The sequence below is a fragment of the Homo sapiens genome, chromosome 12 (assembly GCF_000001405.40).
Source record: "Homo sapiens chromosome 12, GRCh38.p14 Primary Assembly".
Lineage (NCBI taxonomy): Eukaryota > Metazoa > Chordata > Mammalia > Primates > Hominidae > Homo > Homo sapiens.
This window is the reverse complement of record NC_000012.12, coordinates 106,456,053-106,476,462: the sequence shown is the minus strand read 5'-3', so window position 1 is coordinate 106,476,462 and position 20,410 is coordinate 106,456,053. Positions and strand designations below refer to the sequence as shown.

The window sequence follows — 20,410 nt, the reverse complement described above, 5'->3', positions numbered from 1 at the left end:
AACACTCTGCAGGATATTATCCAGGAGAACTTCCCCAATCTAGCAAGGCAGGCCAACGTTCAGATTCAGGAAATACAGAGAATGCCACAAAGATACTCCTCGAGAAGAGCAACTCCAAGACACATAATTGTCAGATTCACCAAAGTTGAAATGAAGGAAAAAATGTTAAGGGCAGCCAGAGAGAAAGGTCGGGTTACCCTCAAAGGGAAGCCCATCAGACTAACAGCGGATCTCTCGGCAGAAACCCTACAAGCCAGAAGAGAGTGGGGGCCAATATTCAACATTCTTAAAGAAAAGAATTTTCAACCCAGAATTTCATATCCAGCCAAACTAAGCTTCATAAGTGAAGGAGAAATAAAATACTTTACAGACAAGCAAATGCTGAGAGATTTTGTCACCACCAGGCCTGCCCTAAAAGAGCTCCTCAAGGAAGTGCTAAACATGGAAAGGAACAACCGGTACCAGCCGCTGCAAAATCATGCCAAAATGTAAAGACCATCGAGACTAGGAAGAAACTGCATCAACTAATGAGCAAAATAACCAGCTAACATCATAATGACAGGATCAAATTCACACATAACACTATTAACTTTAAATGTAAATGGACTAAATTCTCCAATTAAAAGACACAGACTGGCAAGTTGGATAAAGAGTCAAGACCCATCAGTGTGCTGTATTCAGGAAACCCATCTCATGTGCAGAGACACACATAGGCTCAAAATAAAAGGATGGAGGAAGATCTACCAAGCAAATGGAAAACAAAAAAAGGCAGGGGTTGCAATCATAGTCTCTGATAAAACAGACTTTAAACCAACAAAGATCAAAAGAGACAAAGAAGGCCATTACATAATGGTAAAGGGATCAATTCAACAAGAGGAGCTAACTATCCTAAATATATATGCACCCAATACAGGAGCACCCAGATTCATAAAGCAAGTCCTGAGTGACCTACAAAGAGACTTAGACTCCCACACATTAATAATGGGAGAATTTAACACCCCACTGTCAACATTAGACAGATCAATGAGACAGAAAGTCAACAAGGATACCCAGGAATTGAACTCAGCTCTGCACCAAGCGGACCTAATAGACATCTACAAAACTCTCCACCCCAAATCAACAGAATATACATTTTTTTCAGCACCACACCACACCTATTCCAAAACTGACCACATAGTTGGAAGTAAAGCTCTCCTCAGCCAATGTAAAAGAACAGAAATTATAACAAACTATCTCTCAGACCACAGTGCAATCAAACTAGAACTCAGGATTAAGAATCTCACTCAAAGCCGCTCAACTACATGGAAACTGAACAACCTGCTCCTGAATGACTACTGGGTACATAACGAAATGAAGGCAGAAATAAAGATGTTCTTTGAAACCAATGAGAACAAAGACACAACATACCAGAATCTCTGGGATGCATTCAAAGCAGTGTGTAGAGGGAAATTTATAGCACTAAATGCCCACAAGAGAAAGCAGGAAAGATCCAAAATTGACACCCTAACATCACAATTAAAAGAACTAGAAAAGCAAGAGCGAACACATTCAAAAGCTAGCAGAAGGCAAGAAATAACTAAAATCAGAGCAGAACTGAAAGAAATAGAGACACAAAACACCCTTCAAAAAATCAATGGATCCAGGAGCTGGTTTTTTGAAAGGATCAACAAAATTGATAGACCGCTAGCAAGACTAATAAAGAAAAAAAGAGAGAAGAATCAAATAGACACAATAAAAAATGATAAAGGGGATATCACCACCGATCCCACAGAAATACAAACTACCATCAGAGAATACTACAAACACCTCTACGCAAATAAACTAGAAAATCTAGAAGAAATGGATACATTCCTCGACACCTACACTCTCCCAAGACTAAACCAGGAAGAAGTTGAATCTCTGAATAGACCAATAACAGGAGCTGAAATTGTGGCAATAATCAATAGTTTACCAACCAAAAAGAGTCCAGGACCAGATGGATTCACAGCCGAATTCTACCAGAGGTACAAGGAGGAACTGGTACCATTCCTTCTGAAACTATTCCAATCAACAGAAAAAGAGGGAATCCTCCCTAACTCATTTTATGAGGCCAGCATCATTCTGATACCAAAGCCGGGCAGAGACACAACCAAAAAAGAGAATTTTAGACCAATATCCTTGATGAACGTTGATGCAAAAATCCTCAATAAAATACTGGCAAACCGAATCCAGCAGCACATCAAAAAGCTTATCCACCATGATCAAGTGGACTTCATCCCTGGGATGCAAGGCTGGTTCAATATACGCAAATCAATAAATGTAATCCAGCATATAAACAGAGCCAAAGACAAAAACCACATGATTATCTCAATAGATGCAGAAAAAGCCTTTGACAAAATTCAACAACCCTTCATGCTAAAAACTCTCAATAAATTAGGTATTGATGGGACGTATTTCAAAATAATAAGAGCTATCTATGACAAACCCACAGCCAATATCATACTGAATGGGCAAAAACTGGAAGCATTCCCTTTGAAAACTGTCACAGGACAGGGATGCCCTCTCTCACCACTCCTATTCAACATAGTGTTGGAAGTTCTGGCCAGGGCAATCACGCAGGAGAAGGAAATAAAGGGTATTCAATTAGGAAAAGAGGAAGTCAAATTGTCCCTGTTTGCAGATGACATGATTGTTTATCTAGAAAACCCCATCATCTCAGCCCAAAATCTCCTTAAGCTGATAAGCAACTTCAGCAAAGTCTCAGGATACAAAATCAATGTACAAAAATCACAAGCATTCTTATACACCAACAACAGACAAACAGAGAGCCAAATCATGAGTGAACTCCCATTCACAATTGCTTCAAAGAGAATAAAATACCTAGGAATCCAACTTACAAGGGATGTGAAGGACCTCTTCAAGGAGAACTACAAACCACTGCTCAAGGAAATAAAAGAGGATACAAACAAATGGAAGAACATTCCATGCTCATGGGTAGGAAGAATCAATATCGTGAAAATGGCCATACTGCCCAAGGTAATTTACAGATTCAATGCCATCCCCATCAAGCTACCAATGACTTTCTTCACAGAATTGGAAAAAACTACTTTAAAGTTCATATGGAACCAAAAAAGAGCCCGCATCGCCAAGTCAATCCTAAGCCAAAAGAACAAAGCTGGAGGCATCACACTACCTGACTTCAAACTATACTACAAGGCTACAGTAACCAAAACAGCATGGTACTGGTACCAAAACAGAGATATAGATCAATGGAACAGAACAGAGCCCTCAGAAATAACGCCGCATACCTACAACTATCTGATCTTTGACAAACCTGAGAAAAACAAGCAATGGGGAAAGGATTCCCTATTAAATAAATGGTGCTGGGAAAACTGGCTAGCCATATGTAGAAAGCTGAAACTGGATCCCTTCCTTACACCTTATACAAAAATCAATTCAAGATGGATTAAAGATTTAAACGTTAGACCTAAAACCATAAAAACCCTAGAAGAAAACCTAGGCATTACCATTCAGGACATAGGCGTGGGCAGGGACTTCATGTCCAAAACACCAAAAGCAATGGCAACAAAAGCCAAAATTGACAAATGGGATCTCATTAAACTAAAGAGCTTCTGCACAGCAAAAGAAACTACCGTCAGAGTGAACAGGCAACCTACAACATGGGAGAAAATTTTCGCAACCTACTCATCTGACAAAGGGCTAATATCCAGAATCTACAATGAACTCAAACAAATTTACAAGAAAAAAACAAACAACCCCATCAAAAAGTGGGCGAAGGACATGAACAGACACTTCTCAAAAGAAGACATTTATGCAGCCAAAAAACACATGAAAAAATGCTCATCATCACTGGCCATCAGAGAAATGCAAATCAAAAGCACTATGAGATATCATCTCACACCAGTTAGAATGGCAATCATTAAAAAGTCAGGAAACAACAGGTGCTGGAGAGGATGTGAAGAAATAGGAACACTTTTACACTGTTGGTGGGACTGTAAACTAGTTCAACCATTGTGGAAGTCAGTGTGGCGATTCCTCAGGGATCTAGAACTAGAAATACCATTTGACCCAGCCATCCCATTACTGGGTATATAACCAAATGACTATAAATCATGCTGCTATAAAGACACATGCACACGTATGTTTATTGTGGCACTATTTACAATAGCAAAGACTTGGAACCAACCCAAATGTCCAACAATGATAGACTGGATTAAGAAAATGTGGCACATATACACCATGGAATACTATGCAGCCATAAAAAATGATGAGTTCATGTCCTTTGTAGGGACATGGATGAAATTGGAAACCATCATTCTCAGTAAACTATCGCAAGAACAAAAAACCAAACACCGCATATTCTCACTCATAGGTGGGAATTGAACAATGAGATCACATGGACACAGGAAGGGGAATATCACACTCTGGGGACTGTTGTGGGGTAGGGGGAGGGGGGAGGGATAGCATTGGGAGATATACCTAATGCTAGATGACGAGTTAGTGGGTGCAGCGCACCAGCATGGCACATGTATACATATGTAACTAACCTGCACAATGTGCACATGTACCCTAAAACTTAAAGTATAAAAAAAAAAAAGCACTGCTTTGTTTATACACATACATGTACTCACACATAACAGACAGATTAAAACCTGAATAAAATCAATCCATCAACAGTAGAGAATCTACCTCCGTCACTTCCCCTACCTCCAATTTCATTCACTCATTCATTCATATACATTGTGAATTCACCTATTAACTACTATCTATTAAGTGTCTGCTAAGAGAAAGGACTTACTGGGCTTTATGGAGAATACAAGGACATGGTCTCTGCCTTCAAGAAGTTTAGTGGAGACTGACTGCATCCAAGATGGCCAAATAGGAATGGCTCTGGTCTATAGCTCCCAGGGAGATTGATGCAGAAGACAGGGGATTTCTGCATTTCCAACTGAGGTACCTGGTTCATCTCACTGGGACTGGCTGGACAGTGGGTGCACCTCACGGAAGGCAAGCTGAAGCAGGGCAGGTTGTCACCTCACCTGGGAAGTGCAAGGGGTTGGGGGATTTCCCTTTCCTAGCCAAGGGAAGCCATGAGTGACTGTACCTGGAGAAGAGGTACACTCCTGCCCAAATACTGTGCTTTCCCCATGGTCTTCACAACCGGCAGAGCAGGAGATCCCCTCCTGTGCCTGGGCTTGGTTGGTCTCATGCCCACGGAGCCTTGCTCACTGTTAGCGCAGCAGTCTGAGATCAACCTGGGATGGTGGAGTGTGGCAGAGGCAGGGGCATCCACAATTGCTGAGGCTTGAGGAGGCAGTTCCATGTTCACAGTGTAAACAAAGCGGCAGGGAAGCTCGAACTCGGCAGAGCCCACCGCAGCTCAGCAAAGCTTACTGCCTTTCTAGATTCTACCTCTGGGGGCAAGGCAGCAGAGAGCTTCTCCAGACTTAAACGTCACTGCCTGACAACTCTGAAGAGAGCAGTGGTTCTCCCAGCACGGTGTTCAAGCTCTGATAATGGACAGACTGCCTCCTCAAGTAGGTCCCTGACCCCCGTGTAGCCTGACTGGGAGACACCTCCCAGTAGTGGCCGACAAACACCTCATACAGGCAGGTGCCCCTCTGGGACGAAGCTTCCAGAGGAAGGATCGGGCAGCAATATTTGCTATTCTGCAGCCTCCATTGGTGATACCCAGGCAAAAAGGGTCTGGAGTGGACTTCCAGCATACTCCAACAGACCTGCAGCTGACAGGCCTGTCTGTTAGAATGACAACTAACAAACAGAAAGGAATAGCATCAACGTCAACAAAAAGGACATCCAGACCAAAACCTCATCCATAGGTCACCAACATCAAAGACCAAAGGTAGATAAAACCACAAAAAGATGGGGAGAAACCAGAGCAGAAAGGCTGAAAATTCCAAAAACCAGAATGCCTCTTCTCCTCCAAAGGAACACAACTCCTTGCCAGCAAGGGAACAAAACTGGATGGAGAATGAGTTTGACGAGTTGACAGAAGTAGGCTTCAGAAAGTCAGTAATAACAAACCTCTCCAAGCTAAAGGAGTGTGTTCTAACCCATTGCGAGGAAGCTGAAAACCTTGAAAAAAGGTTAGATGAATGGCTAACTAGAACAATCAGTGTAGAGAAGAGCTTAAATGACCTGATGTAACTGAAAACCACAGTACGAGAACTTCGTGAAGCATACACAAGCTTCAATAGCCAATTCGATCAAGCGGAAGAAAGGATATCAGTGATTGAAGATCAAAGTAATGAAATAAATCAAGAAGACAAGATTAGAGAAAAAAGAGTGAAAAGAAATGAACAAAGCCTCCAAGAAATATGCGACTACGTGAAAAGACCAAATCTACGTTTGATTGATGTACCTGAAAGTGATGAGGAGAATGGAACCAAGTTAGGAAACACTCTTCAGGATATTATCCAGGAGAACTTCCCCAACCTAGCAAGGCAGGCCAACATTCAAATTCAGGAAATACAGAGAACACCACAAAGATACTCCTCGAGAAGAGCAACCTCGAGACATGTAATTGTCAGATTCACCAAGGTTGAAATGACGGAAAAAGTGTTAAGGGCAGCCAGAGAGAAAGCTCGGGTTACCCACAAAGGGAACCCCATTAGACTAACAGCAGATCTCTCTGCAGAAACCCTACAAGCCAGAAGAGAGTAGGCGCCAATATTCAACATTCTTAAAGAAAAGAATTTTCAACCCAGAATTTCATATCCAGCCAAACTAAGCTTCATAAGTGAAGGAGAAATAAAATCCTTTACAGACAAACAAATGCTGAGACATTTTGTCACCACCAGGCCTGCCTTACAAGAGCTCCTGAAGGAAGCACTAAACATGGAAAGGAACAACCGGTACCAGCCGCTGCAAAAACATGCCAAATTGTAAAGACCATCGATGCTATGAAGAAACTGCATCAATTAACAGGTGAAATAACCAGCAAGCATCATAATGACAGGATCAAATTCACACATAACAATATTAACCTTAAATGTAAATGGGCTAAATGCCCCAATTAAAAGACACAGACTGGCAAATTGGATAAAGAGTCAAGACCCATCAGTGTGCTGTATTCAGGAAACCCATCTCACATGCAGAGACACACATAGGCTCAAAATAAAGGGATGGAGGAAGATCTACCAAGCAAATGGAAAGCAAAAAAAAAAAAAAAAGCAGGGGTTGCAATCCTGGTCTCTGATAAAGCAGACTTTAAACCAACAAAAATCAAAAGAGACTAAGAAGACCATTACATAATGGTAAAGGGGTTAATTCAACAAGAAGAGCTAACTATCCTAAATATGTATGCACCCAATACAGGAGCACCCAGATTCATAAAGCAAGTTCTTAGAGACCTACAAAGAGACTTAAGCTCCCAAAAAATAATAATGGGAGACTTTAACACCCCACTGTCAATATTAGACAGATCAACAAGACAGAAACTTAACAAGGATATCCAGGACTTGAACTCAGCTCTGGACCAAATGGACCTAATAGACATCTACAGAACTCTCCACCCCAAATCAACAGAATATACATTTTTCTCAGCACCACATCGCACTTATTCTAAAATTGACCCATAATTGGAAGTAAAAGACTCCTCAGCAAATGTAAAAGAACAGAAATCACAACAAACTGTCTCTCAGACCACAGCACAATCAAATTAGAACTCAGGATTAAGAAACTCACTCAAAACCACACAACTCATGGAAACTGAACCACCTGCTCCTGAATGACTATGGGGTAAATAATGAAATGAAGGCAGAAATAAAGATGTTCTTTGAAACCAATGAGAACATAGACACAACATACCAGAATCTCTGGGACACATTTAAAGCAGTGTGTAGAGGGAAATTTATAGCACTAAATGCCCACAAGAGAAAGCAGGAGAGATCTAAAATCGACACCCTAACATCACAATTAAAAGAACTAGAGAAGCAAGAGCAAACACATTCAAAAGCTAGAAGAAATAACTAAGATCAGAGCAGAACTGAAGGAGATAGAGACACAAAAACCTGTCAAAAAAATCAATAAATCCAGGAGCTGGTATTCTGAAGAGATCAACAAAATACATAGACCACTAGGAAGACTAATACGAAGAAAAGAGAGAAGAATCAAATAGATGCAATAAAAAATGATAAAGGGGACATCACCACCGATCCCACAGAAATACAAACTACCATCAGAGTATATTATAAACACCTCTATGTAATAAACTAGAAAATCTAGAAGAGATGGATAAATTCCTGGACACATACACCCTCCCAAGACTAAACCAGGAAGAAGTTGAATCTCTGAATAGACCAATAACAGGTTTTGAAATTAAGGCAATAATTAATAGCCTACCAACCAAAAAAAGTCCAGGACCAGACGGATTCACAGCCAAATTCTACCAGAGGTACAAAGAGGAGCTGATACCATTCCTTCTGAAACTATTCCAATCAATAGAAAAACAGGGAATCCTCCCTAACTCATTTTATGAGGCCAGCATCATCCTGATACCAAATCTGGCAGAGATACAATAAAAAAAGAGAATTTTAGGCCAATATCCCTGATGAACATTGATGCGAAAATCCTCAATAAAATACTGGCAAACCAAATCCAGCAGCACGTCAAAAAGCTTTTCCACCACGATCAAGTCGGCTTCATCCCTGAGATGCAAGGCTGGTTCAACATATGCAAATCAATAAACATAACCCATCACATAAACAGATCCAATGACAAAAACCACATGATTATCTCAATAGATGCAGAAAAGGCCTTTGACAAAATTCAACAGCCTTTCATGCTGAAAACTCTCAATAAACCAGGTATCGATGGAACATACCTCAAAATAATAAGAGCTATTTATGACAAACCCACAGCCAATATCATACTGAATGGGCAAAAACTGGAAGCATTCCCTTTGAAAACTGGCACAAGACAAGGATGCCCTCTCTCACCACTCCTATTCAACATAGTGTTGGAAGTTCTGGCCAGGGCAATCAGGCAAGAGAACCCAATAAAGTATACTCAGATAGGAAGAGAGGAAGTCAAATTGTCTTTCATTGCAGATGACATGATTGTGTATTTAGAAAACCCCATCGTCTCAGCCCAAAATCTCCTTAAGCTGATAAGCAACTTCAGCAAAGTCTTGGGATACAAAATCAATATGCAAAAATCACAAGCATTCCTATACACCAATAACAGACAAACAGAGAGCAAAATCATGAGTGAACTCCCATTCACAATTGCTTCAAAGAGAATAAAATACCTAGGAATCCAACTTACAAGGGATGTGAAGGACCTCCTCAAGGAGAACTACAAACTACTGCTCAAGGAAATAAGAGGGGACACAAACAAATGGAAAAACATTCCATGCTCATGGATAAGAAGAATCAATATCAGGAAAATGGTCTTACTGCCAAAAGTAATTTATAGATTCAATGCTATCCCCATCAAGCTACCACTGACTTACTTCACAGAACCAGAGAAAACTACTTTAAAGTTCATATGGAACCAAAAAAGAGCCCACATACCCAAGACAATCCTGGGCAAGAAGAACAAAGCTGGAGGCATCAGGCTACCTGACTTCAAACTATACTACAAGGCCACAGTAACCAAAACAGCATGGTACTGGTACCAAAACAGATATATAGACCAATGGAACAGAACAGAGGCCTCAGAAATAACACCACACATCTACCACCATCTGATCTTTGATAAACCTGACACACACAAGCAATGGGGAAAAAATTCCCTATTTAATAAATGGTGTTGGGAAAACTGGCTAGCCATATGCACAAAACTGAAACTGGACCCCTTCCTTACACCTTATACAAAAATCAACTCAAGATGGATGAAAGACCTAAACATAAGACCTAGGATCATAAAAATCCTAGAAGAAAACCTAGGCAATACCATTCAGGACATAGACATGGGCAGACTTCATGTCTAAAACACCAAAAGCAATGGCAACAAAAGCCAAAATTGACAAATGGGATCTAATTAAACTAAAGAGCTTCTGTACAGCAAAAGAAACTATCATCAGAGTGAACAGGCAAACTACAGAATGGGAGAAAATTTTTGCAATCTATCCATCTGACAAAGGGCTAATATCCAGAATCTACAACGGACTTAAACAAATTTACAAGAAAAAAGCAAACAACCCCCATCAAAAAATGGGCAAGGGATATGAACAGACACTTCTCAAAAGAAGACATTTATGCAGCCAACAGACATATGAAAAAATGCTCATCATCACTAGTCATTAGTGAAATGCAAATCAAACCACAATGAGATACCATCTCATGCCAGTTAGAATGGCGATCATTAAAAAGTCAGGAAACAACAGACGCTGGAGAGGTTATAGAAAAATAGGAACACTTTTACACTGTTGGTGGGAGTGTAAATTAGTTCAGTCATTGTGGAAGACAGTGTGGCGATTCCTCAAGGATCTAGAACCAGAAATACCATTTGACCCAGCAATCCCATATACCCAAAGGATTACAAATCATTCTACTATAAAGACACATGCACACGTATGTTTATTGTGGCACTATTCACAATAGTAAAGACTTGGAACCAACCCAAATGTCCATCAATGATAGACTGGGTTAAGAAAATGTGGCACATATACAGTATGGAATACTATGCAGCCATAAAAAAGGATGAGTTCATGTCCTTTGCAGGGACGTGGATGAAGCTGGAAACCATCATTCTCAGCAAACTATCACAAGATCAGAAAACCAAACACTGCATGTTCTCACTCATAAGTCGGAGTTGAACAATGAGAACACTTGGACACAGGGAGGGGAACATCACACACCGAGGCCTGCCTGGGGTGGGAGGCTAGGGGAGGGATAACATTAGGAGAAATACCTAATGTAGGTGATGGGTTGATGGGTGTACAAACCACCACGGCACGTGTATACCTATGTAACAAAACTGCACGTTCTGCACATGTAATCCAGAACTTAAAGTTAACAAAAAAAAAGTTTAGTGGAATTAGAGCACATTGCATAGCCACTGAAATATCTGCAAGTCTGCAACTCTTTGCATAATACCCTGATGGGATAAAGACATAAGGATTTGGGGTACCTTAGTCTTGTAAACTGATTCAGAAGGGGGATATTCTCTTATGGTGTACATTCTTGTGAAGCTTCCAGTGTCAATATTTTACAAGAAGAATATCAACTTTGCTCTTGTCCAAGTAGGAGGCCAAGTAAGATAGAGACTACAAATGAGGTTAAGGTTACCCCACAATGACCTAGCGAATAAGGTTAAGGTTACCCCATAATTGACTCAGCAACTGTCAAGACCAAGATAAAAGGGGAAACAGTTTCAATATACAGAATTTGATTTTTTACTGGCAAGCCATATAAAACATTAGAAACTCAAGATACTTTTAAAAACACTCAAAGGGCATTAAGGGTTAGTATCTCAGGGAACTATATAAATTACAGGTGTCAAATTCACATTAACAGATGGAACCAATCATTTCTTAAAAATATTGGCAGGCTAAAATAATCTTGCCTCTGTCAACAGAACTAAAAATGATTTTGATGAAAGAGTATCTTAGTCTGACATAGTTTCACTGGCAGAATGACAACTAAGGCTGGGTATACCTGACCAAGAAAACCGTAACATGGATATACTCGCTTGGCAAAGAAACTTAAAATCAGCAGAAACACAATGTGCAGTTATCTTCAAACCAATTAAAAATAAGAAGATATCACACTAGTAATTTATAAGCAAATGTGAGAGTCAAGGTAGAAAAGTAGAAGTGATACATCTTAAGTATATATCAAAAAAAAAGATGGTCAATGTTAATGATCATTGCTGCTACTTCTTGAGCACTTACTATGTGTGCCAGGCACACTGCTAACTGCTTAACAGTCAGTGTGGCCTAGTAATTAAGAGCTAGGTCTCTGGAGCCAAGCTGCCAAGGTTCAAATGTCAGTTCTCCCATTAATTGTGTGACCTTGGGCAAGCTATTAATCTTTCTATGCCTCTGTTTCCTTATCTATAAAATATGGATAATGATGCCACCTCCCTCCAGAATTGTGTGAGAATCAAATGAGTCAGCACCTGTAAAGTGATGAGAACGCAGCCAGGCACACAGTTAGTGCTACAAAAGTGTTAGCTGTTGTTCTTCTTAAAGCTAAGCGGCAGGCAGAGCTAAAATTAACAGTGATACAGTGCGTGTTTCTTGAAAATAAACAAAACTACAAATAGATGAAAACTGTGCAGTAACCATCAAAGGAATGAGTGAGGCTTGCCAATGGGATTAGATGTAAGACACACACAAAGCACCGCCCTGGGGTCAGGAGACCCAGGTTCTAACACCAGCTCAGCAACCAAGTAGCTGTGTATCCTTGACTGGCCACTGAAAATGCGGGGTCTGAACTTCCTCATCTGTAAACAAGGGGACGGATAACTCTGAGGTGTCTTCTAGTGCTAACATCTGACACTATGACTCAACAGAACATATAGTAGTTTAAAGATGTATCTTTCAGAAAAAAAAAAAGGTACTACTATTTATTTTTTGAACAGCTACATGTATCTCAATAGGCACATCACCTAGACTGTATCTATAATTATAATTCTGGGCATAGCAACTGCAGGAGAATGAAACAGACAGCATAGAGGAGCAAGTCTACCATGTATTTTTAAATGCCATTAAATATAAACAGGTTAATCTAAGAAATAAAACAAGATTAATTTTTATAACAATGTAATACTTTTCCAAAGTAAATTTTTTAAATGGGGGAATTTTATTTAAGTGGTTAACAAATACATTCATATATTGTTTTATAATCAAGTTGAGAAATGATACAGTTTACCTTTTTGCCCATGACGACTGCTGAATTTGTCTCCAATTTCTGGACGCCTTGTCTGTCTCAGCAGCATTTTGATCAGAAAAGCATCTTCAGCATTTGAAGATATCATCACTTTTTCAATATATGAGTCTGTTGCTCCTTTGTAGCTGGTGTTAAGAGAAAGTCACTAAAACAGAGTTTTCAAACTGCCCTTTGTGAACTTCTCACCCATGTTATATTTCATTTCATGCCTACCATAGAGTATTCTGACATTTTCATCTTGGGCTCTGAAAAATGACTTCAATTTTTTTAACATTAAATTCAAATTTCACAATTTCCCTTTTACAATGCTACACGTTTATTATGAGGAAGGCACAGTGCAATTTAATCCTCACAACAGTCCATACTGTTATTCCCTTATTATAGATGAGGAAAACTGATGCTTAGAGGGGTTAAGTAACTTGTCCAAGGGCACATGACTCACACAAAGTGGAACTGGGATTTCAGACTCAACTCCTAGTTCTTAATAGTAATAGCACTTTTACTTACTCAGCTTTTCAATTATTAATTTTTTTCACATAACAAACATTATTAGAAATCTACCAGGTATCAGATCCTGGTAGCCTTCGGACACATAACAATTAAGTAGACAGTTACTGCACCAAAGGAGCTCACAATCCAATCAAGGAGGAGACAGGTAAGTGCAGTAATGGTATCTGGTATGAAGAACAGGAGAGGCTCAAAGGAGATAGTCAATTCTGCTGGGGGTGGGGGATGACAGTGGTGGCAGGAAGTGGCAAGCTGTCAAGCCCTGCCACAGAAGAGGTAAACCTCAACTTGAGACCTGACCAGAGTGGGTCACTGACAGAGTGGCAACCTGAGCGAAGGCCTAATTGAATTAGGATGGCACATTTTGGAGAATAAGAGGTGATTTCCTAGAAACATAGGGCTTAGTGTGCAAGAGGGGCCTATGAGGCCAGGGAGGTGTGCTAAGGACACCTTTCCCACAGGCACCACTGTCGTTCACACTTTTACTTAACTTACTCAAGTTTCACTCTATTTATCCAAGAGAGTAACATGGCCAGAGTAGTTTAGAAAATCACCCAGCCGGGCACGGTGGCTCATGCCTGTAATCCCAGCACTTTGGGAGGTCAAGGCAGGCGGATCATGAGGTCAGGAGTTCGAGACCAGCCTAACATGTGAAACCCATCTCTACTAAAGATACAAAAATTAGCCGGGCATAGTGGCATGCCCCTGTAATCACAGCTATTCAGGAGGCTAAGGCAAGAGAATCGCTTGAATCCAGGAGGTGGAGGTTGCAGTGAGCCAAGATCGTGCCACTGCACTCCAGCCTGGGCAATAGAGCGAGACTCCGTCTCAAAAAGAAAAAATCACCCTAGCAGTGATGCAGAGAGACCCTGAGTGGTACCAGCCTGGAGGCAGATGGACAGTTAACAAGAACTCCAGGCAGAGCAGAGGGCCACAGTGCAGACACTGTAGCATGAAGCAGGAGGAGGGAGAGAAGAGAGCTGCTAAGATGACAGGAACGACAGGATTGGTGTGTGTGGCAGGTAAAGGAAAGGAGTCAGGTTGTGCTGGTGACTGGCTGGCTGCTGGCAGCTGATGCCATTTACCAAGACAGGGATCCAGGAGGAGGAGCCTGTTTGGGACCACTGTAAAGCTGTCCAAGTGCTGATATGAAGCTGACACTGGGCAGATGTCTATATGGGAGTCATCAGCAAAAACAGGGTGACTGGAGTGCTGAGAACTGGGGAGCTTGTCCAGATGAGGTTCAAGAGTCATCTTGGCCAGGGTGAAGTCATCACAAGGCCAGGCAGGATGGGAGGCTAAGAGTGAGTGATTAGACTGATAGGGAGGGCCAGGCGAGAGCAGTGTCACAACATCAAGGGAAGAGAGAGGTCAGTGGTGTCAAATGCTATAGAAGGGTCATATGAAATTCATTCATTCACATAACTATTTACTGAATACCCACTATGTGCCAGGTACTATGCCAGAGACTAGGGGGTACAAGGTGAAAAAGAAACAAAGTCCCAGTCTGCAAGAAGATTCCGATCAAAGAGTCTGTCTGATTTGGCAAGTTCGACTATACATGGGTTTTGCTTTTTTACTTCTTGTCTTCCTGCACTGGGGTGTGATTCCCACAAAGACAGGGACTGCTGGTTTTCCTCCCTGCACTATCCCATGTGCCTGGAATAGTTCCTGGCATACTGTTAGTGCTCAAAAAGTATTTTTTAAGGGCTGGGCACGGTGGCTTATGACTCCCAGCACTTTGGGAGGCCAAGGTGGGCAGATCATGAGGTGAAGAGTTCGAGACTAGTCTGGACAACATATTGTATTTTTTGTTTTTGTAAAAATACAAAAAATTAGCTGAGTGTGGTGGTGTGTGCCTGTAGTCCCAGCTACTCGGGAGGCTGAGGCAGGAGAATCACTTGAACTGGGAGGTGGAGGCTGCAGTGAGCCGAGATCGTGCTATTGCACTCTAGCCTGGATGACAGTGCGAGACTCCATCTCAATAAAAAAAAAAAGTATTTCTTGAATGAAACAAACACATAGGATGTCTTTGGTGACCTCTTCTGGAGCTGTTTCAGGAGAATGAGGAGGTAGGTAAGAGGCCAGTTCCGAGGGTTAGGGAGCAAGCGGAAGGTAACAAAGTAGAAATGGAGACGACAAGATGATTGCTCTGAGGAGCTTCGTAGTGAAAGGAAGAGGAATACAGTGGCAGCTAGAAAGGGACACAAAGACCAGGAAAAACTTTCATTTTCCTTTAAAGGTAAAAAGTATCTGAGCACATTTTCTAGCCTGTGGAGAAGGAATCAATAGGAAACAGGTTGAAAATATGGGAGGATAAAAGAGAAGATGACAGAAAAAGGTCTCTGAAAAGAGTGAATGAAATTAAGAAACCAAAAGGAGAGATGAACTTCGCACAGAAAAAGAGATATCCTCCTTCAAGACGGGAAGAGAGCCAACCAGCAGAGGCACCTCTGTAACTGCAAAATAGCTTTTCATACTGTAGAAGTCAGTGTAGAGTCTGGACCCATCCCCTAAGCAGAGCTGCCCATCTTCTCTTTGGTGCTCCTCCTCCAGAGACAAATCCGTGGCACCCACAATGCTTTGCTGGGTTTAGCACAGTGGTCAAGAGAAGCGCTCTGAAGCCAGATTGCATGACTTCAAATCCTGGTGCTGCCCTTTATTGCTGTGTGACCTTGGTAAGTTACTTAACTTCTCCTTGCTTCCATCTTATCTTTCTAATGAGCCACTAAGAGAACATAGCTCCTGGGATGCTGGTAGGATTAACTGAGCTAACACATGTAAAATGTCCAGAACAGTAACTGGTACAGTGTAAATTCCCAATATGCTATTATGATCATGGTCATTATTGCACTTTTTTTGTGTGGGGGTCTTTGCCAACTAAATATGACTCATTGCAGGCAACGCTTGTGGCTTATTTCAGCTCTATATCGCTGGCACAAGAGGCAGGATGGTTGGCACATGGCAGGCCTCAGCTACTGTGTATTGAATACATTTGTAAAACTGCCATCACAACTCAAGAATCCAGTTCTCCTATGTCACCCTCACTGCCACCTCCTAAACTCAGCCTAGTTCACCTTGGCTAGGTTAGATATCTCTTCTAGTTTGGTTTTTATATCACAATGTGGTGACTATCATTGGCCCTTCTCACTAGGTTCATATTTTATTAAATTTTAGAGCTTAGAAGAAATTTAGAGATTAACAAGTCTAACTCTTTCATTGTATTATACAAATGAAAAAACTGAAGCTAACAGAATTTAAATGCTTTACTCATGTAAGATACACAAAACAACGTCTACTAGAGCTGGGCTATGTTCTAGTATACTGTGATGCCATGCTGTGGCCAGTGTGTTTTACTGTTTAAAAATATGACTCTTATCATGTCACTCTCTGCAGTATCAATTCCCAACTCTTTCACAACCTAGCCCCAGCAAGCTACACTGATCCTCCAAAACCCAGGCACTTTTATGCCATGTGCCCTTCATCCTGTTGTTAATTCCACCAGGAACCCCTGCCTATGTGGTCCACACCTCAAACCCAGTTTAGGGCCTATATGATTCCATAGACTAGCTTTATCTTCTATGCCATGCTTTTTCCATGACAAGTAATGCTACCCCAAATTGCTATTTCTAGTTCTCCAACACGCCAAGACCTAACTTCGAATTTCTCCCATTTCTTCTCTTTTTCTAACCTTTCTACATATTACCAGGGCACAACCAATACATACGTTATGGGTACATCTTTGTACTGTGGTTGCTGTGGTACATTACTTCCTTCCAAAGGAATCTGAGTCACTGTGGGCATGGACTTATTTACAAGCACTTGTTTGTTTTCTACTTTCTCACCTGAGAAAAAAAGAAAAGTGTTAGGCACATCGTTATCATCTGTGTGGAATACAAAGATTACGAACTAGGCAAAGATGCACAGGCCTGCAGTCCCAACAACTCAGGAGGCTGCGGTAGGAGGACTGCTTGAACCTAGGTTGAGGCTGCAGTGAGCTATGGTCATGCCACTGCACTCCAGCCTGTGCAACAGAGTGAGACTCACACACCCACACACACACACACACATCATAGTCTATATAAAATTAAGAAAATAATTCAGAGTACTACATGAACATGAGAAACATCATCTCAGTAAATAGCAATTTTATATATCTCTTAGGGTGTTAAGTTTTGGTCACTTATTTTTATTTATAGTTATTTCAACCAGTAATAAGCCACCACCAATTTAACTTGGGCAACAAGGAAATCAAAATATTTCTTTGGTTATGCTGTTATTCCCATTTTTGCTTTGTATCTCTTCCTGGTAAGTTCAAAGACCAACTACCTGTAGTACTGTCACAGCGCGTATTTTCCAAGCCATACTGACCAGTGTTAGGGTGAGAAAAATTCTCCAAGAAACAAAGGCAGAGGGAGGGAGGAGAAGTCGCGTACTCTGTGTCTCTTTGGAACCACAGCTTGATAAAGCATTCACCGCCCACAGGCCAACCATGACAAAGTCATGTGGATTTCCCTCCTCACAAACTGGGTTCTCTCCACCTTCACCACAGCTCCTGGTACCAGGTCTACCTTCTATTTTAGTGCCCTTCTAATCCTTTTTCTACACTGTAGTCAGAATGATCATTCAAAACACATATCTGAATATATCATTGCTTTTAGGATCATAATGAAAATAGTATCATGGGCTCGGCATGGTGGCTCAAGCACTTTGGGAAGCCGAGGTGGGTGGAGAACTTGAGCCCAGGAGTTCAAGACAAGCCTGGACAAGATGGTAAGACCTCATCTCTACAAAAAATACAAAAAACTATCCAGGCATGGTGGCACGTGCCTATGGGTCCCAGCTATACAGGAGGTTGAAGTGGGAGAATCACTTGAGTCTGGGAGGCAGAGGTTGCAGTGAGCTGAGATTGTGCCACTGCACTCCAGCCTCAGTGACAGACTGAGACCCTGTCTCAAAAATAAAATTAATAAAATAAAATAAAGACAATACTAACATGGTTGCAAGGACTTGCTTACTCTGGCCCCTACCCCTTGCGTCACCCACCAACTCATGTGCACCATGCTTCCCTGCACTCTCTTCTTGTTAGCCACGCTGGTCTTCTTTCAGACCTTTCAACTACCAAGCTCTGGGACCCTTGCACAAGCTTTTCTCATTACTTAGAACATGCTCCCTGATCCTCTTCTTTAGTTAACTCTTCCCTATCCTTCAGATTCCAGCTCACTTCCTCGGGAAAGCCATGCTGATCTTCCCAACAAGGTCAAATTCTCTTGCTATAAAATGGCCTCATAGTTACCTATATGATTCCTTAACCTGGATTTATGCATGATCCTCTGATCAATGTCAGTCTCCTGCACTAGCCTGTGAGACCCATAAGGGCAAGGGCTATTTGTTTCATCAACAAAATGCATTACAAGTTTGTAATTATAATGGAGTCATACCTTTGCAGGGGGATAAAATTCTAAAGTAGTCTGTAAGCTAAATGTGTAAATGAAGAAATACCAGTGCAGATGCAGGGACATAAACTACTCTAAATATTTCCTTAAAGTGGCTTTTCTATTATTCAAAATTATAACTAGAAAATTATAGTTAGCATAGATTACTGATAGGTAAAAACATAGTGTATAGAAAAACAGACTGGAAGGAAATTCATCAAAAATGACCTCATTGGTTGAGTTTGGATGGTGGTTTTATAGGTTGTTACTTTTTTCTGCCCTTTTTGCCAAATATTCAGAAATATTATTGAATAACATATGATGTCAAAAAGTATTAAAATTTTTTCTTTTAAAAGGCTTTTACCTGGAGAACAAATACCATCTGCATCTAAGATTTCATGTCGCCAGATAGGTTTCCTTGTAGCAGCATCCAACATGGGCCCCATCACTTTATCAAAAGTCTGATTGGTGTATCGTTTCAACGTACATTTAGCATTTTTATATACAAGGCAACGCCCAAAGCCTAAAATGAAACCAAGATGGGCATTAGAACCACCAGTAACCCAAAGCTATAAGGAAATATGGATTTGTGCTACTCAACAATCCACTCCACCTCACCCTCCCCCAAATCCCAAAACTTCTCTGTATTTGATAATAATCTGGGACCAGTACAAACCAAATAAAAATCTGATAATCTGAAGAAGCAGCACAGGACTTGTCCCCTACCTACTGTCTGTGTAAACACTGGAATCTCTACAACCATTTTCTGCATGGAATACACCTTGTCATACTGGAGAACGGTGAGAGAAATCTAAGACTGGCGCTGTGATTCTTTCAGAGGACAGAGCCATAGAATATTAGAATTGGAAAGGCCCTTAGAAATCACCTGCTTAACCTATCTGTTTTACAGGCACTAGGAGTGAGGTCTAGAGAAATTAAGTGGCCAAGGTCATCCAAAAAGTTGGCAGCAGAGTTGAGAATTGTGTTGAACAGCACAAGTCCACTGACTCCTGAGCCAGGATACACATCCTTTTGGTGCATAACTTCTGCTAAACTTCCCTGGAAAGTTTTCCTTTTTAAAATTTGGCATTTAGAGCAAGTTCTAAGCCAACAAGTAAAAACAATAATTTTTCTCCAGAGAAGAGACAGAATGAAAAAAGAAATAATCAAATTATTTCAATGGGAAAAATAGTTCTCCTCTGCCCTAAAGATTGGAGTTTAATTACATTTTTAGATTGCATTTATCTAGTGGATGAGGGAAAGGCTGTGAAATCAACTAACAATCTAAACATCAAGAAAAATAAGCTGTCTAGCAATGGATCAGAAAAGAAAAGGAAGAAAAATAAGCAAAAAGGACAGAAGAAAAACCTTTGGGTGGGGCAAAAAAACTCAACCACTGAATCCCTAAAAGAAAAAATCCATGAGTTGTAGAGTTACCCAAAACAGCTGTCATTCCTTCAACACTATAATTTCCTGATTCTGTGGCTGCATTTCTTTCTTTTTTCCCTTTGGCCAAGCAGTTATTTTAAACTGGATTCTCTTACTAATCTCCTCAGGATATACTGAGCCATGCCAGAGTTCACTTAAATAAGAAATGTCTCAGGATTA

At 40.9% G+C, this 20,410-nt stretch overlaps 1 protein-coding gene across 3 annotated transcripts in view; it reads right to left on the bottom strand.

Annotated features, from left to right (window-relative positions):
* The window catches only part of POLR3B (RNA polymerase III subunit B), a 152,451-nt gene that overhangs the window by 33,736 nt on the left and 98,305 nt on the right, over positions 1-20,410 (bottom strand). For all 3 annotated transcript variants that reach the window (NM_018082.6, XM_017019621.3, NM_001160708.2), the window contains exons 21-23: positions 19,167-19,325; positions 17,095-17,212; positions 12,843-12,985 (exon numbers count right to left, since the gene is read on the bottom strand). In NM_018082.6, the coding sequence (NP_060552.4) occupies positions 12,843-12,985; positions 17,095-17,212; positions 19,167-19,325 (420 nt within the window). The remainder of the gene's footprint in view (positions 1-12,842; positions 12,986-17,094; positions 17,213-19,166; positions 19,326-20,410) is intronic.